The 22,943-nt window shown below is 40.1% G+C and overlaps 1 long non-coding RNA gene across 1 annotated transcript; it reads left to right on the forward strand.

Annotated features, from left to right (window-relative positions):
• Positions 1-288: 288 nt before the first annotated feature.
• LOC107985812 (uncharacterized) lies at positions 289-4,059 on the forward strand. The gene is made up of 3 exons (XR_001739193.2): positions 289-387; positions 1,203-1,344; positions 2,370-4,059. It is a non-coding gene; the product is annotated as an uncharacterized LOC107985812 (long non-coding RNA).
• Positions 4,060-22,943: the final 18,884 nt, after the last annotated feature.

A 22,943-nucleotide genomic window follows, 5' to 3' on the forward strand; every position in this document is an offset into this window, starting at 1 on the left:
TGTGCTCTCACCTGCCACCTTAGTCTGCCTTGGTGTAGATTTGCTTAGAAGTGTCTTGGGAGATAGGGGGTGGGGCATGGGGACAGGGAATATGACCAGACAATAATCAGCACCTCTTGTTCCCCAAGGCATCATGCCAGTTTCTACCTTTTCACCTTTACATATGGTGTTCTTTCCACTTGGAATTATTTTCTGTCTCTCTCTCTAAATATATAAACATTTGGAAATGAATGAGCAAACACATTAGCTGTATAGCCTTGAGCTCATCATTTCACCTCTCTGGGTCTCAGGTTCTTCATCTATAAAATGAAGGGGTGGAACCGGATTCTTCAAATTCTACAATTGTGTAACTTTAAGGAAAGAACAAAGGCAACTCAGAAATCAAAGGTGAGAATGGTAACATTTTGATATTCCTGTCATCTTGCGGCAGCCAGAGTCTCTGTTGTTATGCTTAAAGGGAATGTGGACATTTTAGTGAATCCATAAATCTTTAATGATATGTGGAGCTCCTTAAGTACAATACCCTACCAAGTGGCAACCACTTGTTCAAATCATGGTGCACTGATTGGGTGCTGATCCTCTTTCCACAGTGGATTCGGGTTTGTCTCTTAGCTTGAAGCATCTCCTTTTAACTCTGTAACTTCAGAATTCTGATGGGGCCTAATAGCAACTCGATTCAATCAAGACGTGTATTTTCCTTGTTGAATCAGATCACTCGAGATTGCTAACAATCATCTATTGTGGTGTATGGAAAGCCAACTTTTATACATGAAATTAAATGAAAGCTTACAGGGGCTAAGGCCTTAACTGGAGACTCTTTTGTGGCTTTCTTTTAGTGTATTATTTGTCAGATTTTTATAAGAACATTATTGCTTTAAGAAAAAAAATTAAACCCTGAGAAATTACTCTCAGTCTAACGAGTTCTTTTCACTGACTTCAGACATCATTAGGGGAAGGCTATAGCCTAGGGCTGTGCATGAACTTTTTCTTCTAACTGTACACTTTATGTATAATTTAGCTTTCTTGCCTAAATTATTCAAGCAAATAGTGAGTGAAAATAATGGAGTTCACTGAAACCTTCCAGAGTATTAAAATAAAACAGTTTTTTATGTTGGTTTGAATTTTTAAGCTTTTTAATCATGGATTTCAAATGGAATACACATGTCTGGCTTTTCTTCACTTGTCCTCTGCATCTTTTTCAGAAGGAGAGAAGAAAGGAAAAGAACTTTAGTAAATAATCCAGTAATTAATCACTAGTGCTGATAGCCACTCCAGGTTGAAGTAACACTCTTTGGAAACACCATATCAAGGGGCCAGGGATATGGTTGGCACATATTTCAAAAGGTAGATAGATACTTCTTTTCCCCATTTCTTGGGACCAGGGCAGGGCTGAAATTCAGTGGCATATTTGAAAGGGAGAACTCATCTGTTTAGTTTAAATAGGAAATCACAGTAGCAGGATTTGTACTGAAATCACCCCAGATTTTTTTTTAAACCAAACACATGCTCTAAATAATAATGTTTCATTTTTGATGTGTGTGGTCTGGAAACCTTATTTTTATTATAGATAACCCTGAAGAAAATTTAAAAATCATTGAAAGAATGGGATTTCCTGGCATACCAAATACATTTCCCAACCAAATTGTTATCATAGCACACTGTCTTTGGAAATAACAAAGGCGATAATAGCAACCAGGGTTGTGGAAGGGAAATCATCAATGTGCAGCAAAGAGCTTCAGATATCATATTCTGAACTGGCAAATGCAAGCTTGAGAGTAATATCTGGGAAGGCCCAATGGCTAATGCTCTTTTTAGAGAAAAAAGAATGACCTAGAATAACAGACCTGTAAGTTTAATTTATCGACCTGATTAGACACAGGAAAGAATTATCACAAAATCAATTTTTCAACACATAGCCTAGAACAGGGTATTAGGTAGTAAGCAGTATGATATCATCACAACTATTAAAGTCTCTTTTAAGACTCTAGTCTACTCCTATGATAGTACAAAATATGGTAAATGGAAGGAAACTGAGAAATGCAATCCATATTGGTTTCAATAATATGTTTTATACTCTCCAACATGACATTTTAAACAATTATCTGAAAAAATGTGTTTAGAAATTTAATTATTTTATTTTAAGCATTGGTCAAGGAGTCATGAGACCTAGATTTAAGTCTTAGCTCTATCATTGAGAAATTGTAGGCAAGTTACTTCTTTACCTCTCTGTGTGCTGGATACCAGACATAATTATCTCTAGGACCTGAGATTATTTAATTATTCACCTAGAAATGTCACTTACTGCATGTGTGTGCATTAAAAACAAAAATCATGTCATAATTGGTCATCTTATTCCATTCTCACTGCAGATGGCATCTAAGAGGTCTCATCCAACTAGGCAAGCTCTGGGTTAGGAGGCAGATCAAGGTAAGTGAGAATTGACTTCAGTTCTCTTTCTTTGACTCTCTTCCTGCATACAGGCCTACTTAGCCTGTTTTCCCAGCTCCTTCTCCCTCCCATCCTCTCACTGCTCTTCCCTGCAGCCCTTCACCCCCATCTTTTCTGACCAATCTGGATCAAAGTCCTCCCCTAGGGCCCCATGGCAGGCCTCCATCTCCAATATTTCCTTCTAAGGCTTTTCCCTACAGCCTCACCTAACATACCTCTAACCGTATCATTCCTTGGCAAAACTTTCCAGTGGGAAAATCTCTTTCTACCTCTTCTTCAGGCCCAGAAACTAAGGACAGGGTTTGGATGCATTTAGCTCACTACCGCCACTTCTAGCTCTTTGGGCCTTCCCTGTCCCCCAACAAATTTTCTTCTAAAAGGTCCATGTGACTGATTTATAATTTATCCCCAGTTGTACCTTTTATTTTCTACACTTGTAGTTCATTCATTCATTCAGTAAGTATTTATTAAATACCTACCACATGCCAGGCTCAGCCTTTCTTCCTAGTTCTTCTCTTGTTTTCATCCCCATGACTTCAGCCTCCAAGGGCAAGACTCTAAAAGTAGTTTCACCTGGGCTGCTCCACCAGCCATTTCTCCATTTCTCCATTTTGGCTACAGGTGGGCTATAATAATGGTCTCACTGTCCTTCAGAAATCTTTCAAATGACCACAGCAACACCATCTTTCTTTTCTTCCTTTCTCTCACAACAGCTGCACCTGTACCCTCAATCTTATCCTTAACCCTGAGCCCATCTCTGTTCTCTTGTCTTCTTACCCAGCTTGATCAATGCTTCTCTCTGTCTTATCTACTTACTTATTCATCTCTGCTTCTGCTATGGCACCTAGAACAAGGTCTTCCATCCATCTAATAGGTACTTAGTAAATATTTGTTTAATTGAACTGAATTGAATAAAATTGGAAAAAGAAGTTCAATAATAGGCACAGTGAGTGGAATACCAAGTCTGAAACATGGCATCTAACAGTCCTTCTCTGTTGTGTGACACAGACTATGCCTAGAATACTTTATTTTGCCCATTTCTAAGTTTCACATTTTGCAAGATGAATTTTTCAATTCTGGAGTGACTAATTTCATTTTTCTTTTCTCTCTCTCCTCTGTCTATTAATGGCTATCTCTCTTTTACAAATAAGGATCTACATTCAGAAACTTCTGTATGTTGCTTTTTTTTCACTGAACATTATATCACAAGCATTTTACACAGTCATTAAATATTCTTTTACAATATGAGTTCAGTGATCACATGAAGTTCTAGCATGGAGCTATATGCAAAAATGCTTAACTAATTTCCATTGCAAAAACCATATTTCCAGTTTTTCAATGAACACATGTACACTAAATGTGGGGTGGGGGAGGTGTAATCATTTAACTGTATAGAATATTACATATAAATGTTAGGTGAAAGGATACAAATATTTGTATTGTTACTGATATATATGGGAGAATATCCTCCTCAAGAACTCCAAGGAACAGCATGTACAAATAATTGTCAATACTATTATCTTTCTTTTGATTCACTAAAAGTGATGTATTTTGTATAACATTTTTAAAATTACAGCTTTATTGAAATAAAACTTGCATACCAAAAATTCACTCCTTTAAAGCATGCAATTATGTAGTTTTTAATGTATTCAGAGTTGTGCAACCATCACCACTGTCTAATTTCAGAACATTTTCATCAATACCCAAAATAAAACCTGTACCCATTAAGGGTCATTCCTCATCCCCCTTTCTCCCTATCCCCCAGCAACCACTAAATTATTTTCTCTATATTCAGATATTCTGATTTGAAATGTTCCATACAAGGGAAATTGCACATGATTTGTCCTTTTGTATCTGGCTTCTTTCACCTAGTATAATGTTTTCAAGGTTCATCCATGTTGTAGCCTGTGTCCTTTTGCATTGTTGTAAAGGAATACCTAAGGACGGGCAATTTATAAAGAAAAGAGGTTTATTTGGCTCATAGTTCTGCAGGCTGTATAAGAAGCATGACCCTGGCATCTACTTCTGGTGAGGGTCTCAGGAAGCTTTCACTGATGGTGGAAGGCAAGGGAAACTGGCATGTCATACGGCAGGAAAGGGAGCAAGAGAGAGAAAAGGAGGGGTACCAGACTCTTTTTAACAACCAGATCTCACTTGAATGCACTACTGTGGGGAGGGCACCAAGCCATCCATGAAGAATCTGCCCCCATGACCCAAACACCTCCCATTAGGCCCCCTTCTAACACTGGGGATCATATTTCAACATGAGATTTGGAAGGGAAAAATATCCAAACCATATCAGAGCATAGGTCAGTACTTCATTCATATTTATAGTTCAATGATATTCCATTGTATGGATATGATCACATTTTGTTTCTGTACTCATCATTGGATGGACATTTGGGTTGTTTCCATTTTGGCTATTATTAATAATACCACTGTGAAGATTCTTGCACAAGGTTTTGTGTGAGCATGTTTTCAATTCTCTTGCCTATATACACAGGAGTGGAATTTCTAGGGCACATGGTATTCTATGTTTAATTTTTTGAGGAACTGCCAAATTGTATTCCAAAGTGATTGCACTGTTTTACATTTTCACCAGCAATGTTCCAATTTATCCACATTTTCACCAATACTTGTTGTTCATCTTTATACAGTATTATACTTTTTATATTGTACCCATCCTAGTGGGTATGAAGTGGTATCTCATTGTGTTTTTCATTTTGTTTCCCTTTTTTTGGTTTTTGAAACAGGATCTCACTCTGTCACCCAGGCTGGAGTGCAGTGGTGCAATAATGGCTCACTACAACCTTGACCTCCTGGGCTCAAGTGATCCTCCCACCTCAGCCTCCTGAGTAGCTGCGACCACAGGCACTCACCATCACACCCAGCTAATTTTTTGTGTGTTTTTTTGTAGAGATGTGGCTTTGCCATGTTGCCCAGGATAGTCTTGAACACCTGAACTCAAGTGATCTACCCGCCTCAGCCTCCCAAAGTGTTGAGATAACAGGTGTAAGCCACCACACCTGGCATTTATTTCCTTAATGACTAATCTTACTGAGCATCTTCCACGTGTTTATTGGCCATTTGTACACATTCTTCTGAGAAAGGTTTATTCAAACTCTTTACCCATTTTTAAATTGGATTACTTGCCTTTTTGTTGTTGAATTGAATGAGTTCTTTACATATTCTATTTTAAAAATTTATAATTTTTGTAGGGACATAGTAGGTGTATATATTTATGGGGTACATGAGGTGTTTTGATACAGGCATACAATGCGCAATAATCACATCATGGAGAATGGGGTATCCCTCCCCTCAAGCATTTATACTTTGTATTACAAACAATCCAGTTACACTCTTGGTTGTTTTAATGTGTACAGTTAAGTTATCATGGACTATGGTCACCATGTTGTGCTATCGAATAGTAGGTCTTATTAATTCTTTCTATTTTTCTTTATCCATTAGCCATCTCCCCTCAATCCCCCCAATATCCTTCCCAGCCTCTGGTAACCATCCTCCTACTCTCTATCCATTAGTTCAATTGTTTTGATTTTTAGATCCCACAAGTAAGTGAGAACATGTGATGTTTGTCTTTCTGCACTGGTTTATTTCACTTAACATAATTTACATATCATTAATACAAGTCTGATCCAACACGTAATTTGCAAATACTTTCTCCATGCTATGGATTGCATTCCTACTCTTTCATGATGTCTTTTAAAACACGAAAATTTTAAATTTTGATGAAGTGCATTTTATTTACCTTTTTCTCTTGTTGCTTATGCTTTTGGTGTCATATCTAAGAAACCATTGCCTAATCCAAGGTCATGAAGATTTATGCCTGTTTTCTTCTAAACATTTTATAATTTTTATCTCTTACATTTATATCTGTGATCCAAATTAAATGATTGTTCTTTAAAGATAATCAAATTATTATTCCTTTTGGAACTTTTTTCAAATAGTTAATCTACTATCTGAGAACCGTTTTGTGCAAAAAACATTTTTCTTTTTCTACTCACTTGAAATGCTACCTTTTCTCAAATATTATTTTTAAACACTTAATTTCCTTCCAGAAATCTGTTTGTCAATTCATATATTAGTAGAAAAACTTTTCTTATTTTAGAATTAAAGTATTTTAATATTGTATGACACAAATATTCTCCTGTTACATTTTTTACAAAATTTCCTGGGAATTTTTATTCATTTATTCTTTCAGATAAATTTTAGATTTATTTTATCAAATCTTGCATCCAAAATAAAATAAGAATTATAATTTGTGTTCTTTTTGTAATTTCATTAAGCTTATGTGTTAATTTGAGGAAATTTAAATTTTATAATATTGAATCAACAAATAGATATAGGGTACCATTTTATTTATTAATATTCCTTTTAGGAAACTCAGTGAAGTTTTATAGTTTTTTTCCCAAATAGATCCAAATTATCTCATAAATTTATTCCTAGGTAATTTTTATTTAGTTGTTATTATTGTAAATATAACCTTTCTGCTGAATATTTTCTAAGCATCTATATTACAAATGCAATATTTGCAATTTTTACTATAATGCAATTTTTTTAATGTATTTGGAAATTGCTTATTTGTTTTTGGTAGACATTTCTATAACTCACAATAGTGATACCTCTTATATGCCTTTCTAATACATTTATTCATTCCTCATCATCAGTTTCATTTGCCAGAATTTCCAGAACAATATTAAATATCAGTGGTGTTAATCGGTCTCCTCTCTTGTTCCTGATATTAGTAATAATGCCTTTCCCATTTTATTCTCCCAAATGGCATTGTCTTTTGGTTTGTGTTAGATTTTCCATACAAAATTGAGGAAATTTTTCTCTATTCATAGATGCTTAGGAATCTATGATTTCTAAGAATTATTAATGAATATTCAATTTCAGCAAATGTTTTTCAGGATCTATACACCTTGTCATATTTCTTCTTCTTTGAACTGTTAGTAAATTTCTATAGTAAAACAGTTTTAATTTGTTTAATAAGCTGTGTTTGTTCATAGTGAATCAATCTTTAATATACAACTAGGTTCAATTTACTAAAGTTTTATTTAGAATTATTACTTCTCACTATTCACAAGTTCATGAGTGAGATTGATTTGTGGCTTTCTTTTTATGTTGTTTATGTTAGGTTTTGGTATCAGAAATGCACTAGCCTTGAAAGATCAATTGCAATGGCTTTTTTCCCCTTGCTTTAGAACAGTTCATATACAATGGGAATTTTCATTAAAACTTTGAAAAAAAATCACTTGGAATAATAATCTGAGCTAAAGTCTCTTTCAAAAGCAATTCTTTGACAGCATTTTTGAATTGATTGCTTATTTATGATTCCATTTTCCTTTACTGCTATTCTTGAGTCAATTTTAGTTATTTGTATTTACTAAGAATTAGAGAGATCATAGGATAATTTCATTCCAGGAAAAAAGACAATTTAGTAACAAAATTTCCCTTTCTGATAGACTCCAAATCAGTATGATTCAATGGAACTCCTTATTCAATACAGTTTTGGTGGGGTTTTTTGTTTGTTTGCTTGTTTTGTTTTTGTTTTGAGATGGAGTCTCACTCTGTCACCCAGGCTGGAGTGCAGTGGCATGATCTCGGCTCACTGCAAACTCAAACTCCTGGGCTCAAGCAATCCTCCCACCTCAGCCACCTGAGTAGCTGGAATTACAGGTGTGTGCCACCATGCCTAGCTAATTTTTGTATTTTTGTAGAGACAACATTTCACCATATTGTCCAGGCTGGTCTTGAACTTCTGAGTTCACGCTATCTGCCTGCCTGGGCCTCCCAAATTGTTGGGATTACAGGCGTGAGCCACCGCACCCAGCCATAAATATATATTTAATCAGATTGACTTCTAACTTGACTAGGATGACAAATTGCTGTGCGACTGTGCAATTTCCACTGTCTATGAGCCTCTGTTTCAATGTTCTCCATGGTGGCTTAGTAAATAAAAATGATTCTAGAGCATGAAACTGAACAACTTCCTCACGCTAAATAATGCATAGGTAACAAAGGATACAATATATTTTTTATCCAGAAGAAATTACTGACCTGACAAACCAGCAAATATATGTTTAAGTATGATGCAAAGAAAGTAAAACTCAGATAGTGAACACGGGCTGGTTAAATTCACATTATCTTTATCACACGCTTTTTCGCATCCCAACCTTCAAAGATTCACCCAAATGAAATATTGAAGGTTCTATTGAATTTCTGACAAGTACAAACTCTCTATACCCAAGCATGGCTCTAGGCAACAGAGAAAGAAATAACAACAATAAACTATGTTTTCGCACACAGCCTAGAATGTTCGTTAGGGAGAAAGGGAAAAAAAGACTCTCTGCTGCTCTAGTGGACCGGAAATTCACTTCAAGGTTCAGACACTCACACATGAGAGCAGTTTGCTTTGCTCAAACCTTTGTCCTTTCTCTCCACTTTATAGCTTCAACTTTTAGATGGTCCAGGCCCTCTACTCACTCTGTTGCAGTCAAGAAATCAAACGTGATTGTTCCTCTGTGCTCCTTTCTTTGTCAATGCAGAGGACAGAATGTGGGCTTGTAGACAACTGAGTGAGCCAGGATCTGAGATACTGAGGTTCCAGTCTTGGATCCACAGTAACCAGATAGGATAGTGTGCACATGTGGTTTAAACTCTATGAGCCTCAACTTCCACGTTTGTAAAACCGAGGGGGTTGTACTTCACAAGGTAAATTTCGAAGTCTTTGCCAGACTGACAATCCTTGATTCAAGAAAAGAAAGTGCTGTTTTACAGTTTCAGTCTAGAGTTTGAGCCAGGCACCAGGGCCTACCACATAGAAGGCCAGTCTAAGGATGGAAGCCACCTTCAAAGTGTAATTATTCAATAGTCTTGACTTCCCCAGAACCTTCTGCGGGGGGGTGGTGGGGGGTAGTTAAATTGACTACAAAAGTAACCTACCGGAGTTTACTAACAAGTGCAAACTTGTCAGCATTTAAGTATTATAACAAACTACCTGGATGCCTGTCTTCCTCCTTAGGAGTCTTGTTTGCTATGTAAAGTTCAAGGGTTAACAAAAGGTAAGTGAATGTTTGATACAGATGGGCTCCTAGGCAGGCTCCTGAGAGGACAGGTGGACAATATAGAGGGAAGGAGAAAAAACAATGTGTGCTTCTTACTTCCTGCTCCCAGTGACCTGGGATGGAGTTCATTTTGCAGGGAGAGGAGGCTTTTTCAAATCTCCCTATCTTGCAATCAATCAGAAAAAAAAGAAAAGCAGGTGTGCTCTCTCCAGCCTCCAGGGCAGCAAAAAGAGAAGGGTTCACCGAAGCCAACCCTCCCCCAGAACTCCTTCCAGAATGATGCTATGCCACTAACCATGTTTCTAGATTTTTTTTTCTACAGTTGCAATCAATCATCTCTTTTAAAGGGGACTCAATCATTTAAAACTTGCAATTGAACAGGAAGGGAAACTGTTTGAATCAGACTTTCCAAAGGCAGGTAAGATTCCTGTATTCATGCTTTCGATTCAGTATTTATAAGGAGGCCTATTGTATAGCAGGCACTGTTCTAGGTGCTGGGAACTTAGAGGAAACCCAGCGGGAACACAGAGGACAGACAAGATCTCTGCCATGATAGTGCCCAACAATAAATAAGTGAGTAAAATGATTCCAGATCCTCTTATGTGATACATAGGAAATAAAACCAGGTAATATGGCTGAGAGTACAGCAGAGACAAATTAAATGGACTGTTTGCTCTGAGAAGGCCTCTTTTAGTAACAATAGCTACCATATTGTGAATACTCATTATATGCCAATTACGTTACATTTGTTATTTGGTTGTAGCTTTGCAACAGCCTTGTGAAGGAAGAGTCGTAGTCCCCTTTTAGAGATTAAGAAATTGAAGCTGGGCACAGCGGCTCACACCTGTAATCCAAACACTTTGGGAGGCTGAGAAGGGAAAATTGTTTGAGCCGTAGAGTTTGAGACCAGCCCAGGCAACATGGTGAAACCTCATCTCTACCAAAATAAGAAAGAAGAAAGAAAGAAAAAGAAAGAAAGAAAGAAAGAAAGAAAGAAAGAAAGAAAGAAAGAAAGAAAGAAAGAAAGAAAGAAAGAAAGAAAGGAAGGAAGGAAAGAAAAGAAAGAAAGAAGGAAAGAAAGAAAGAGAGAGAGAAAGAAAGAAAGAAAGGAAGGAAGGAAAGAAAGAAAGGAAAGAAAGAAAGGAAAGAAAGAAAGAGGAAAAGAAAGAAAGAAGGAAAGTTTAGCTGGGTGTAGTGGTGCACGCCTGTAGTCCCAGCTACTCAGGAGGCTGAGGTGGGAGGATCACTTAAGCCAAGGGGGCAGAGGCTGCAGTTAGCCGAGATCACACTGCTGCACTTTAGCTTAAGCTACAGGGCAAGACCCTGTCTCAAAAAAAAAAAAAAAAAATAGAAAAGAAAAGAAAAGAGAAAAGAAAGAAAGAAATTGAGGCCCAAGGTCCACAGCTAGCAGGCAGCAGAGCCAAGATCCAAAGCCAGACATATCTAATTCCAAAGTCCTGTGCTCCTGCCACTATGTTAACCTGGCCCATGAGAAGAAGCCCCCTGTTGCACTGGAACAGTGGTCCTCAGCCCTGTGTGCACATGGGGGTTAGAAGATGCTGACACCTGCACTCCAGCCCCAGCAATTGTTATTTGCTTAGTCTCCAGTGCAGTCTCAATGTTTCAGTATTTAGAGGCAGCCCAAGAGAGCTAAGTTGAGAACCTAGAACAAGCTCCTTAAGATGCAGAATCATCACATATATGGTCCACTCTGGGGCCCCAGCCAGCCCATCATCTTACTCCAAAAAAGTGCCCCATCATTCATTTCTGCTCTTCCTTCAGAAGTGCCAAGTCTGACACAAAGGTTACAGGTACAGGTGGCCACACCATACTTCAAGCTGATGCCGAACACTCCTAGACACTTAGGCTCATCCTCATTACACAGACAAGAAAACCCAGATACACACAGGCTTAGTAACCTTCTCAAGGTGGCATTGCTCCACTGTAAGTAGCAGAACTGGGATTGTAAATCCATCTTCTCAAACTCTTTACCACTAGCCTCACCTCCCTGACTTTGGTTCAGTTCCCTGGTTTAAACTCAGAGTTGATGGAAATCCAAAGAAAAGCCAATTGAAATAACCCAAGTTCTCTGCATGAAGATGCCTACACAACAGACCCCTTGACACTTCTGTGGCCCCAGTATTCACCTTTCTCCAGAGGAGAATCTCAGCGTTCAACTTCCCACCAAAAGCTGCCCTTTCCGTCACTGGATTTCTCTTTCTTTCACATGTGGTTTAAACTCTATGAGCCTCACTTGCCACATTTGTAAAATTGAAGGGGTTGTACTTCACAAGGTAAATTGTAAAGTCTTTCTCAGATTGACAATCTTTGATTCAAGAAAGAAAGTACTGTTTCAGAGTATTGGTCTAGAGTTTCAGCCAAGCACCAGAGTTTTATTTAGATTTATAAGACAGTTCTCTTTAAACTTTTATGTCAAAAACCACTTCTCCTTCCAAACCCACATTTGCGTGTAAAGAATAACTACTTTGAACCTGCAATTCTTTGACTCCCCCATTCAGACAACAAGCATCAATGTCACTAATGATGAAGCTCTGAGCTCCCATTACATATGGCATGGCACTCTACATTTTATGAAGTGTTTTCGATCCTTTGCACCCCAAACATTGGGGGTGAATAGAGCTGATATTATGATCCCTGTTTTACACAGAAAGAAACTGAGATTTATAAAGACCAAATAATTAATAGAGTCAAGATTCAAACCTGAGTTCTCCAACCGGAGACCAACTCCCATTTCCCTATGTAAAAAGCATGAGCAATATTTTGGCTTTTAAGGGACTTTACATTCTGTTAATTAGAACAAAAACCGATAATTTGAGTAGCAATTTACAGTTGTCAAATTGCTCCATCATTATTTCCCTTTATCCTCATGGAAATACTGGGATGCAGCCTAAAGGATTGTCTGCATTTATAATGGGGAGGCTGAGGCTCAGGGTGCTTAACCCACTTGTCTACACATTTTACCTCCTCAGTAAGGTGCAGACTTAGGATATGGTCTTCTGTCTCCAATTCTTATGCTCCTCTCCCTAAAGATTCACAATGCAAATTATTTAAGGTAATAAATTTTCCCTATACTCAGATACAATTTAACTAAAATAACTAAATAAGGTTTAATGCCTTGACCTACATATAAAATATATGTTTTATTCTGGTAGTTTAGTTTATTGTCCAGCAAATGTTCACTCCCTCCCTCTTCCCCCACCCCTATTCCTCACCCTGTGACTTGCTTTGGTCTCGTAATGGGTGGTGTTACATCCACTTAGCTTTGGCCTTGACATTGTTACTTCCTTGGCCAATGGGATGTTAACAGATGTGACTCCAAGCATAGACACAAAATAGGCTTGCCTAGTTATACTTGTTCTTGTGTGCCTTGGGTAACAACTGGACTAAGATAGATCAGAGCCAAGTAGAATAGACCTTGACCCAGTCAGCAGCTTGAAGCCAAGCTCAGTTAAAGTGAGCATAAATCAGCTAAATGCAAGCTCATCCACAGATGCATAAATGAGAAGAAAAGAGACATCATTAGACATCTCTGAGTGATTCAGTTACCTTGACTGAATAGTCCTTTTTACTGACAACTATTTAATCACAGTGCTAGAAACATGGTAAATATTTAAAATAGTCTTCACAATGATAGAACCCATAAACAATCCTCCGGACTTCTGGGTGTCCTCAGTCTTCTGGAACACAGAAAATTCTCTTCCAATAGGTAGCAGTGTTACACAAGCTTTAGACCCTACTAATGACAAAAGCAAGGCCTGATTGCTCCTTCAGAGAAGCAGGAATCAGGAAGAAAAATATTCCAACTTCAAATTCACCCCCATCTAAGGGACAAAATAACCCACAGCTTTAAAAAAAAAAACAAAAAAACAGATGGGATTTGGGGATGGGGATTGTTCAACATGCAGTGTGGTGTAATGTGTTCTAAGAGTCTGGGCCCACCTCTCTTCCATGTCATCACTTTCAGTGATTACTGAGTAATCCTTCCATTACTATGAAATCATAAACTTTGCTTACTCTTTTTAAAGCAGAGTTTCTGATACAGAAAGAAATATGCCGCATCTACTGTCAAAACGTCAAGAATGATTGTTTTCTGTGTTTCCAATAACCAGCAGCTTTTGTATGTGTTTTGTCTTCTTCACTCCACCACATCTATTAGAAAATCACCTTCCCTTGAGATAGAAACCCCGCAAATTTCTAATCTATGTAAATAAAACCTTAGTAGTTGAGGTCCATGAGAGGCACATGCATGTCTTTACTCCTGGTTGTGTGTCCTGTTTATATCTCTGGGACTGGCCCTGTTTATTAAGCTTTTGTGCAGAAGAGAAAACTGGGTATCTATGAGTACAACACAAGACTCTACTATGCTATATTGAGTTGAAAATAATTTTCCAGGATCTCAAATCTTACAGAGAATGGCCCAAGCAACATGGCCTTTGTCTACATGGAGAGGAGAAGATTATTGTGGCTTATGGAGGCGTTACCACCAAGCCCAGACATTCAAACTTCACCCAGACGACCTCTAGACCTTGGCTCTGGTTTTTTTTTTTTCCCATAGGTAGGAACACCCAGTGAAGGAATTGAGTCAGAAACACAAGCTACTTTGCAGCCTCAAATGTGAATTATCTAAGAAGGGAGGTGACCCAGCAACACCTTAAGGGCTCTCCCCTCCTGTTTTCTAAAACACTAAAGAAAGGCAAAAAGCCAACTTCTTTCCTAGGAGCCTAAGGCAATGGCTTGAATGAGGAGGTGCACACTCAATGCATTAAAAAAAAGGACAATTGAAATTGAGTTGGATTATTAAATTAATTATGTAAGTATAATTATATTAAATCCTATAATTAATTACATTACATTGCATAGCCCATTGAAAACTTACCAAAATGGCAGAGGTTTAAGGTGGTGAAATGGAAACTCCAGTGTACTGAGCAACAACCTAAAAAGAAATCTCACTGGAAGAGGAGTATCTTTTCTTGATTATGCTCCAAAATATTGATACTTGGTTAGGACTTGACAACACTCTTGTCATCCTTCAACCTCGGCCTCCCAGGTTAAAATGATTCTCCTGCCTCAGCCTCTTGAGTAGCTGGGATTACAGGTGCTCACCATCATGCCCGGCTAATTTTTTTGTTTTTTAAGTAGAGACGGGGTTTCACCATGTTGGCCAGGCTAGTCTCAAACTCCCGGCCTTAGGTCATCTGCCTGCCTCAGCCTCCCAAAGTTCTGGGATTACAGGCATGAGCCAACTTGCCTGGCCCCTTTTCCTAATATTAACAGCTATAGACACTAAGCCCTTCTGTGTCAAGCACCATACTAAATACCCTATGTGTATTACATCATAAAGTCCCCACTATAAAACTGCGAGATGGGTATTATTATTATCCAATTTTGCAGAAGAGAAAACTGAGGTCTCCATTGATGAAGTAATTTCTCTGAGGTCAGACAGTTACTAAAACATTCTAACTCCAAATTGTGCCATCCATTTATGGCTTTACTGCCACACACACAGCTCTGAAGGAAGGAGAGAGTGACGGCAGAAGTGGTGAGAGGCTGAACAAAGCAAAAGAAAGCAGACAGGTCAGGCCTGGGAGTTGAGGACTGGCCTTTGGGGACCCCTGGACTGAGTAAAATGCACCCTTGCTCCTAGACAGGAAAGGCAAAATGACGTTTGTGAGGTGTCCTCTCCAGGCCAAGTGCTTTCTTATAGGTTATGCTGTTTCATTCACACTCTGACCCTGTGAAGTAGGTATAATTAATCATTTTTCAGATGGTGCTAAGGCACAAAGATGCAAAATACCTGGCTCAGGGTCACATGGCGGGGAAGAGCAGGGCTGGTATTTGCACTCTGTTCTCTCTGAGCCCTTGTCTGTGTCCCACACCGGTGTGACTCCCATAGGAAACAGCATAGACACCATAGTTACTGTGCACTGAGTATGCTATTAAAGCAGGGGAGTTCCTACCAAAGGAAAAAGATGTTCATTATTTCTAAGTGATTTGTGTTGAAAACTCTACCCTAATCCCTTATCTTGAAGCAACACTACATATGTCTCTGAGAAAACTGTTGTCCATTTGTCTATCATGAACTGTATAAGTACTGAGTGCCAGACAGGCACTGGGAGGAGCGAGATGAGCAGAGGGCTGCAGGCTCTGCCCATTAGGAGCCCCTCCTTGTGTGTGGAGGGGAGAGGAGCAGGCACCCAGTAAGTGCCAGGCCTGGGGCAAGGGTGATGCACAGTGCTGTGGCGACATGGGGAAGGGAGTGTCCCTGGCCAAGACGGGCTTCCCCCAGTAGGTAAGAGAGCTGGCTTTGGAGCCAGACTTGGAATAATTACTCCAGCTCCAATGTCTGTACTGCAAGAATGATCCATGGGGCCCAGAAAAGAGTAGGGCACCTTCCTTGCTATGGAAAAGGCACTGGGATGGAGAAAGGCAGGAAACACTTAAAAAAAAAAGTAAATGACCAATCACAATAAGGAGTGTAGACTGGAACCTCTGCTGCAGTAGGGTGTCTGGTTGGAAGGAGGAAGTCAGGGAAGCAGGGGCAAGGCCAGGTGGTGGGTATGAGGGCCAGCCTCCCTGGGGGATAGAGAAGAGGAGTCAGGGTCTGCAGCATTGCTCTCTACCCAACTGCGTCTCCAAATCCCCTCAGAGATTCAGCAAAAGCCAGAGAAAGGCCTGGCCCTGCCCTAGACAAACTCAGTCACAATCCCCAGAGCTGGTGCCCAGCAAGTGTATGTTTTAGAAATGCCAAGGTAATACGTAATGAGGAAGAGTCAACAAGACTCAGTGAAGGAGTCTGCAAGGAGGACGGGGGCAAAAGCGGAGAAGATGACCGCCATGACACTAAGATTGCTAGCTGAGCCTCCTGCAGAATGGCGGGAACATTAGCTCAGCCAGAACTTACCCCAGGAGAAGAAAGGACATGTCCAGCGTGGATATGAAATCCATCCCTTCCCAGGCACCCAGATGTGAGCAGGTTCAGCATCTGGAAGTGAAGGTCAGAGCTGGAACCAAAAATGCTGTGGCAACCATGGGCAGGGGATGTTGGAAAAGATGACACAGCATAGTGCTGTGCAGGCAGAAGGCAGCCCCCAAGATTTACCAGGGAACAAAAGAGCAGAGTGATGAGAGAAATGGGAGGGGAGCCAGCATGGGGAGGGTGACAGAAACTAAAGGGGGAGAAGGTTTGTGAAGGGTGTAGTCTACAGGGTCTAGGGATGATGAAGCAAAAGCTTCAGAGTTGTCAATGGAGGACAACTCCATTGGGAGGCATCAATGGAGAAACCGTATGTCAAAATGTTCCATAGCAGACTCAGATGACTATAGTTAGCAAAATGTGTCGTGTATTTCAAAGTAGCTAAAAGAGAGAATCTGAAATGTTCCCATCACATAGAAATGACAAAATGACACAAGGCAGTGGATACCCCAGATGCTCTGACTTAACATTACACATTCTATGCGTGTAACAAAATATCACATGTACCCCATAAATATGTAAAATATTATGTATCCATTTTTTAAAAGCCAGTTCTAGTGGATTATGGAGGACTTAGGGGATGAGCGAGAGACGAAAGGCTTTTACTGTCCTGTCTTAAGTCCCAGAGTTGATATCACCTGTTTCAGGGCCGGTGAAAAAACAGGAAGGATGTTTGTGAATTTAGAAATGTGTACTCTTGCACTGGGGTTTGGGAGGGGGTGTGTGAGCCAATGGGAATGCCTTAACTTAATGCAATGTCTTCTGAGAGGATTCAGCCAGATGACTAAGAAGCAAAGATAAAATGCATCAAGATTGCAGGAGAGGAAAGAGAAGAAAGGAAAAATAGGAGATATTCTGAACAGAAGTCCCCAACTATTTTTATTTTTTTTTAAATATCTGGAATGCTAATCATGGAATCAGCTGGAATGTTATCTCTAACTCACCTCTATCAGGAAACATTAAGGTTTACAAAATTGACATAACAGTTCTCATAGGAATCCCCTCTAGATGTCAACCTAGTGTGTGTGCCGTCATCTTTAAATGCTTTCCCATGTTTTCTGGCAAATGTTAAAAGCAGCTTGTGCCTCTCAGAAAGACCAACTGCCCCTGTGGGGACTAATTGCATAGACCTTGTGCATGACGAAGAGGGTGCTACTCGGGAATAAGAAGAGGGGCTTAATGAATCACAAAAGTACATAATTTATCAAATAAAAAGAGTATGACATTTCAGAGTAAATTCCATGGAAAATGAATGCACTGTGTTTCGATGAATCAGGCACTGAGAATATTTCCTTAGAAACCAAGTCCATATTTTCATTAAGAGAGAGAGAGTGCACACTCGAGTGAGAGAGAGAGAAAGTGGGAGAGAGAGAAGCTATGGGATTCAAGTGCACCAGTGAATTAACATCTTGTGGTAAAAATGCTGCCTGAGAAATTAAAATGATATTTGAAACATAAATCCCGAGTGCTAACAACTCTCGTTATAAGCACCCGCCAGAGTCAACAAGCAGAGTTTGTTTGCTAGGAGGTTGTTTCTGGAGGCCAATTCTTGAGTTCTCAAAAAACATCTGTGCAAACGCAGAGGGAATGCCACAGCAATAGAAGCCATCAGTGGTTAGGTGTGTTATAAATACATTATTACTTCATTGTAATGGCACACGGGCCCTGGCTAGACTGCAGAATGACCTCACCAGCTGTCAGCCCTTGAGTTACTCTCCTTGAATGAGCATTCAAGATACAGCAGCGACTCCGAGTCGGTACCGTGTAAACACAGAGGTAATCGTAAGAGAGGAACCAGGCACAAATTCATCAACATCTCACGAAAAAGCAGGGGGCCTTGGCCAAAACCCGAAAGACTGAGGGATTCTTCTGTCACACAAAAACACCGTTCAAGCCAGCCCTAAAGAACCTTTTTCATGGAACCTCCGAGCCAGCCATCCCCTGGGCTTTCTCACTCTGTCTTCCCTCGCAGAAAAAAAAAAAAAGGCCTCACGGCCCAAAAGAAGCAAGCCTCCTTCCAAGGAATCTATTCCCGTAGTGAAAACTCGGAAATGCAAGCTGAGGCTGGGTGGCAAGGGTCCGAAAGCAGCTGGGCTCCTGGCAGAGGTTCCCTGCACACACAGAAAACCAACGACTTGATTCAGAAGTAGGCTTCCCTCTGCAAGTGAAGAAAAACATTTTGAAGATAAGAAGACTGCCCGCAACTAAATGGAAAATGACGGTGGGGCCAAGAAGTGTCAGAAACCATGGAAAAAAAACAAAAAGGGGAAAAGAAGTGGATCACCTGGAGGGGGGCTGTCCTCACTTAGCTCAGGTTTCCACAGAGCTCTGGCCAGTCCTGAGCTGGAGACGGGTCATGGGCATGGTGTGTGTGTGCGCCGGCCTGGGAGTCAGGATGTCTGATAGGGGTTTAGGGTCCTTCCACGGCAGTTTCAGTGTGACCCTCCACCTCGCAATGTCCTTGGCTGTCCCTCACTGGCAAGGGTACGGGTGGAATTTGTTTTTAATGAATGGGGGCATGCATCAAGTGTGGCCATGAGAGAAGTTACGTGGATGTGTGCTATTAGCATGCTTTGGTGGGCAGTGGGGGAGGGAGAGGTAAAGTGGGATTTTATTTTCTCCAAATGCAAAAAGCAAAAGTAGCTTCAGCCTTGGCCCTTTGACTGACACAAGTATGTGTGTGGCTGTGGGTACAGAAACCCAGAAATTTCATTCCACTTTGTACCCAAGATTCTGAAGGAAACAACCAGACTGTAAGCCCCATGGGGACAGTGAATATGTAGGGAGTATTGATCATCTGTGTCTCCCCAGTCCTTAGTGGAGGCCTCAGCACATACAGAGTACTCAGGTAGTGTTTGCAGAATAAACGGATGAGTGATCTCAGTAGCCATGAATGTCCCATGTTTTAGGTTACATACCACACCTTGCTTAAGCACTACCACCGCTCCAGCACAGCTACCACCAGCAGCTCCTGTTGGTCAGCCTTTGTCTGTAAAGGCTTGTTGCAAACTGAGGCATGAGTTTTCAAAGATGAATGTGTTTGTGTTATAATCACTTGGGGGAAAATATCAGAATTTTATTCAAGGAAAACTTTGTGCTAATAATTTAGGAAAATATATAGTAAAAATTTCAGTTTAACACGTATTTTATTCCTTTATTCATCTGTTTACTCATTCTAGAAATACTGTGCTACACAGAATATTTAAAAACCAGAAAAAGTCGCTGCTTTCATGGAGCTTACATTTCAGTGGGAGAAGTGAATAATGAAAGAAGAAACATATATATATATGTTAAGGCTATATGTGTATATCATTATGGAGTAAAAATGACTTCTATGAAGAAAAATTAAGCAGGGTAAGTGGATAGAGAGTGACAAAGCATGCCACTTTGCATAGGATAATCAGGGAAGTCCTCTATGGAGAGAGAACATTTGACCTAAGATTTGAAGGAAATGAGAAATTAAGCCCTGCAGAATTTTGGAGTTTCCTTAGGGAAGAAAATTCCCAAAGGAAGGGTATAAAGGCCCTGAGGTGAGTACCCAGTCACCAAGACGCAGAGGGATACTGCTTATACTTCATCTCTCCAAGCCCCCCAACCCAGTCCAGGTTTCCAGGCAAGGTGACAAAAGCCATACTTCTCCCTGCATTTACTTCATTTCTCTCCCTTCCTTGTGTGCCCCCACCCCACCCACCCACACATACATACACACAGCACCCTTTTCCTTAAGCCCAGACCAAAATCACTCATGAATATCATCTCATATAATACAGCTGCGACGGAGTGGTAAGAAGCCAGAGAATCTCAACTCTGGCCAAGGAGAGTCACCCAGTTCCAGAGGTAAAGCCTCCAGCATGGAGGAGAAGCCTCCACAATGTTAGCCCACTTCCTCCTTATTTTCCTTTCATTAGAACTCCAGAACTGCTGCTAGTAAGTGCAATCCCTTATATCTGTAAAAACACTTCTTTCTTGTCAAGTACTTCACGCCATGGTCTCATCTCCTCTTTACAAGCACCTCAAGAGGAGTATGTAGGGCACCCATTTTTACTGTTCCACAGAAGGTGAAACCGAGACAGCAAGAGATTGTAGTCATACAGCACCTCAGTGGCCAAGTTGAAACTGACAGGTGAATTCCTGACTCCTGGCCCCGGGCTCCTTCCTGTGTACTACGTAGCTGTGAGGTTCCTCCTAGAACTGTGCATGATGATAAATTGCAGTGCTTAATCCCAAAAGTCTTCTAGGGCAACTCAAGGCATTGTGTGGAAGCATAACCATTATTACTGTGATTTTGGATTGAAATAAGAAATTAGTGCCTATACATACAAACAGGTTTGTCACTGTTACCAGCAGTCTCAGCCTTGGCAAACATTGAATGCGAAGTATTGTAACTATGAAAGCTCTGGGCTGATGGACATATGATACCTCATGGGCTGAGGATGTTGATACTCCTATTGGCTGGTATTCTTCAGCATAGAGAATCCAAAAGCAAGTCGTTCCCTTGTCCTCTCACAACCATACACAGCAAAGGAGGTGCAAGGCATGGCATGTCTAAGATGGCCATGGATGAAGAAAATGGTGGCAGGGCTCCAAGGTGGCTAAGACTTAACTGTCATGTGAATGAAGCACAGTAGTAAAGGCACATCTCCCCAGGCCTAGCATCTGCCAGACAGTGTGCTGCCAGCGTTCCTTGCCTTGGGTTTCAAAAAAAGGCTGGAATCCAGACCTCTATGGTGTAGCCACTGAAGTAAGGCCACTTACACAAAAGAACAGTGGTTTTATCTTGGTGGCTGCTGATATTTTTTAAACCTGCCAAAGACCTTTATAGGTAATGAGCAAGACTCTTGCCTTTAAACCCACACTGGATTTTAAAACTTATCCTGTGAAAGAAATAACAGGACAAAGAGAATTAAGGAAAAGAAGGTTTTTTCCTCACTTCTTAGAACTTTCAGCTGCTGTCAACAAGTTTGCAGGGGTTTGCTTGATCGACTGCTGATAGAACACAGTAAATTTCCTAAAGTAGGCATCTATTATCTAATCTAAACTCTTATAGAAAACTTAATGGACGTGATAAAGCAAATTTTATCTCCATTTTATATATGGATTAATGGAAAAAGTTGACAAGACCTACAAGAGACTGGATACTTGATGCCTCATTCAGCTAGACATCTGTCCATGGCACTGGACAAAATGCACTCGGGCATACTCCAAATTCCCATGACAGAAGTCTAGCCCTGTGCTGTCCAACATGGTCGCTATGAGCCACGCATGGCTCCTGGGTACTTGAGATGTGGCTAGTCCCAACTGAGGTGCATCATAAGTGTAAAATGCACACCAGCATTCAAGATTTATTATGAAAAAAAGATGTAAAATATCTCATTATTAATTTTATGTTGATGGTGTATTGAAATGATATCTTAGATATGTAGGGTTAAGTAAAACATAAAATTAATTCCACCTGTTTCTTTTTACTTTATTGAATGCAGCTCCTAGGAGACATAAAGTCACAGATGTGGCTTGCATGATGTTTCTATGGGATGGTGCTCATGTGGACAGAGTTTTTGGACACTTCTTTGGAGGGATTCTTTAGGATATAACCTTTCGCTTTCCATTGCACTGAAAATTCCCTAGCAATTGGACAACATTCCTCTCCAGCATTCCTTCTATTCTGTCACACCTGAAAGCAAGAACCTGATGACACACATTTTCACATGTTTCTATGACTCTCTCTATTGAAAGAAGTAGCAGGCAAGGAATGGTGCATTTTATTTGAATAAATTAGGTTAAATTTATGGAAGTAACAGCTCCATTTTATTTCTCTCTCCTTTGATGTCTATATTTAAACAATCTAGAGATTCTCATTTCAGTCCATTACCAGACTGTCTCCTAGTACATTCTCCCAGTTAATTTTTTTTTTCTAAACAAGAACATAAATCCCTGTTGCCTGCCTCTTGGCAACTCTTGACTCTCCCAAGGCAAAATTTTGGAGGGCACTCATTGCAGAAGCACACAGAATTGAAGACAAGGAGGAGCACTGGATATTCAGATGTTAAAGTCTGACTCCAAGCTCTGGCTTGTAATGGGCAGTGGTCTAATGTGGTATTTACAGCTGAAGGGGGTAAAAAAAAAGCAGATTGCTTCCAGAAGCTATGCATCTGCTACCCGGTAAGCCTGCTGGTTTGACGCGCTCAGCAAAGTGCATGAAGAACTCTTGAACGTCACAGTGATTTGGTTAATTGGGTAAAGATAAGGGTTTCTGAATAGCAGAGTCAGTTTGCCATATTGGCCTGGCACCCACGCACGTGTGATGAAAAAAAAGCTCGGCTGTCTGGATGCGTCTGAACGCTCAGTTATTTCATAAAGCCTGCACTGTGTATTTGGAATGCACATTTGCTCTTATGAATAACAGTAATTGTTTGGCT

Source organism: Homo sapiens, chromosome 2 (genome assembly GCF_000001405.40).
Source record: "Homo sapiens chromosome 2, GRCh38.p14 Primary Assembly".
Taxonomy (NCBI): domain Eukaryota; kingdom Metazoa; phylum Chordata; class Mammalia; order Primates; family Hominidae; genus Homo; species Homo sapiens.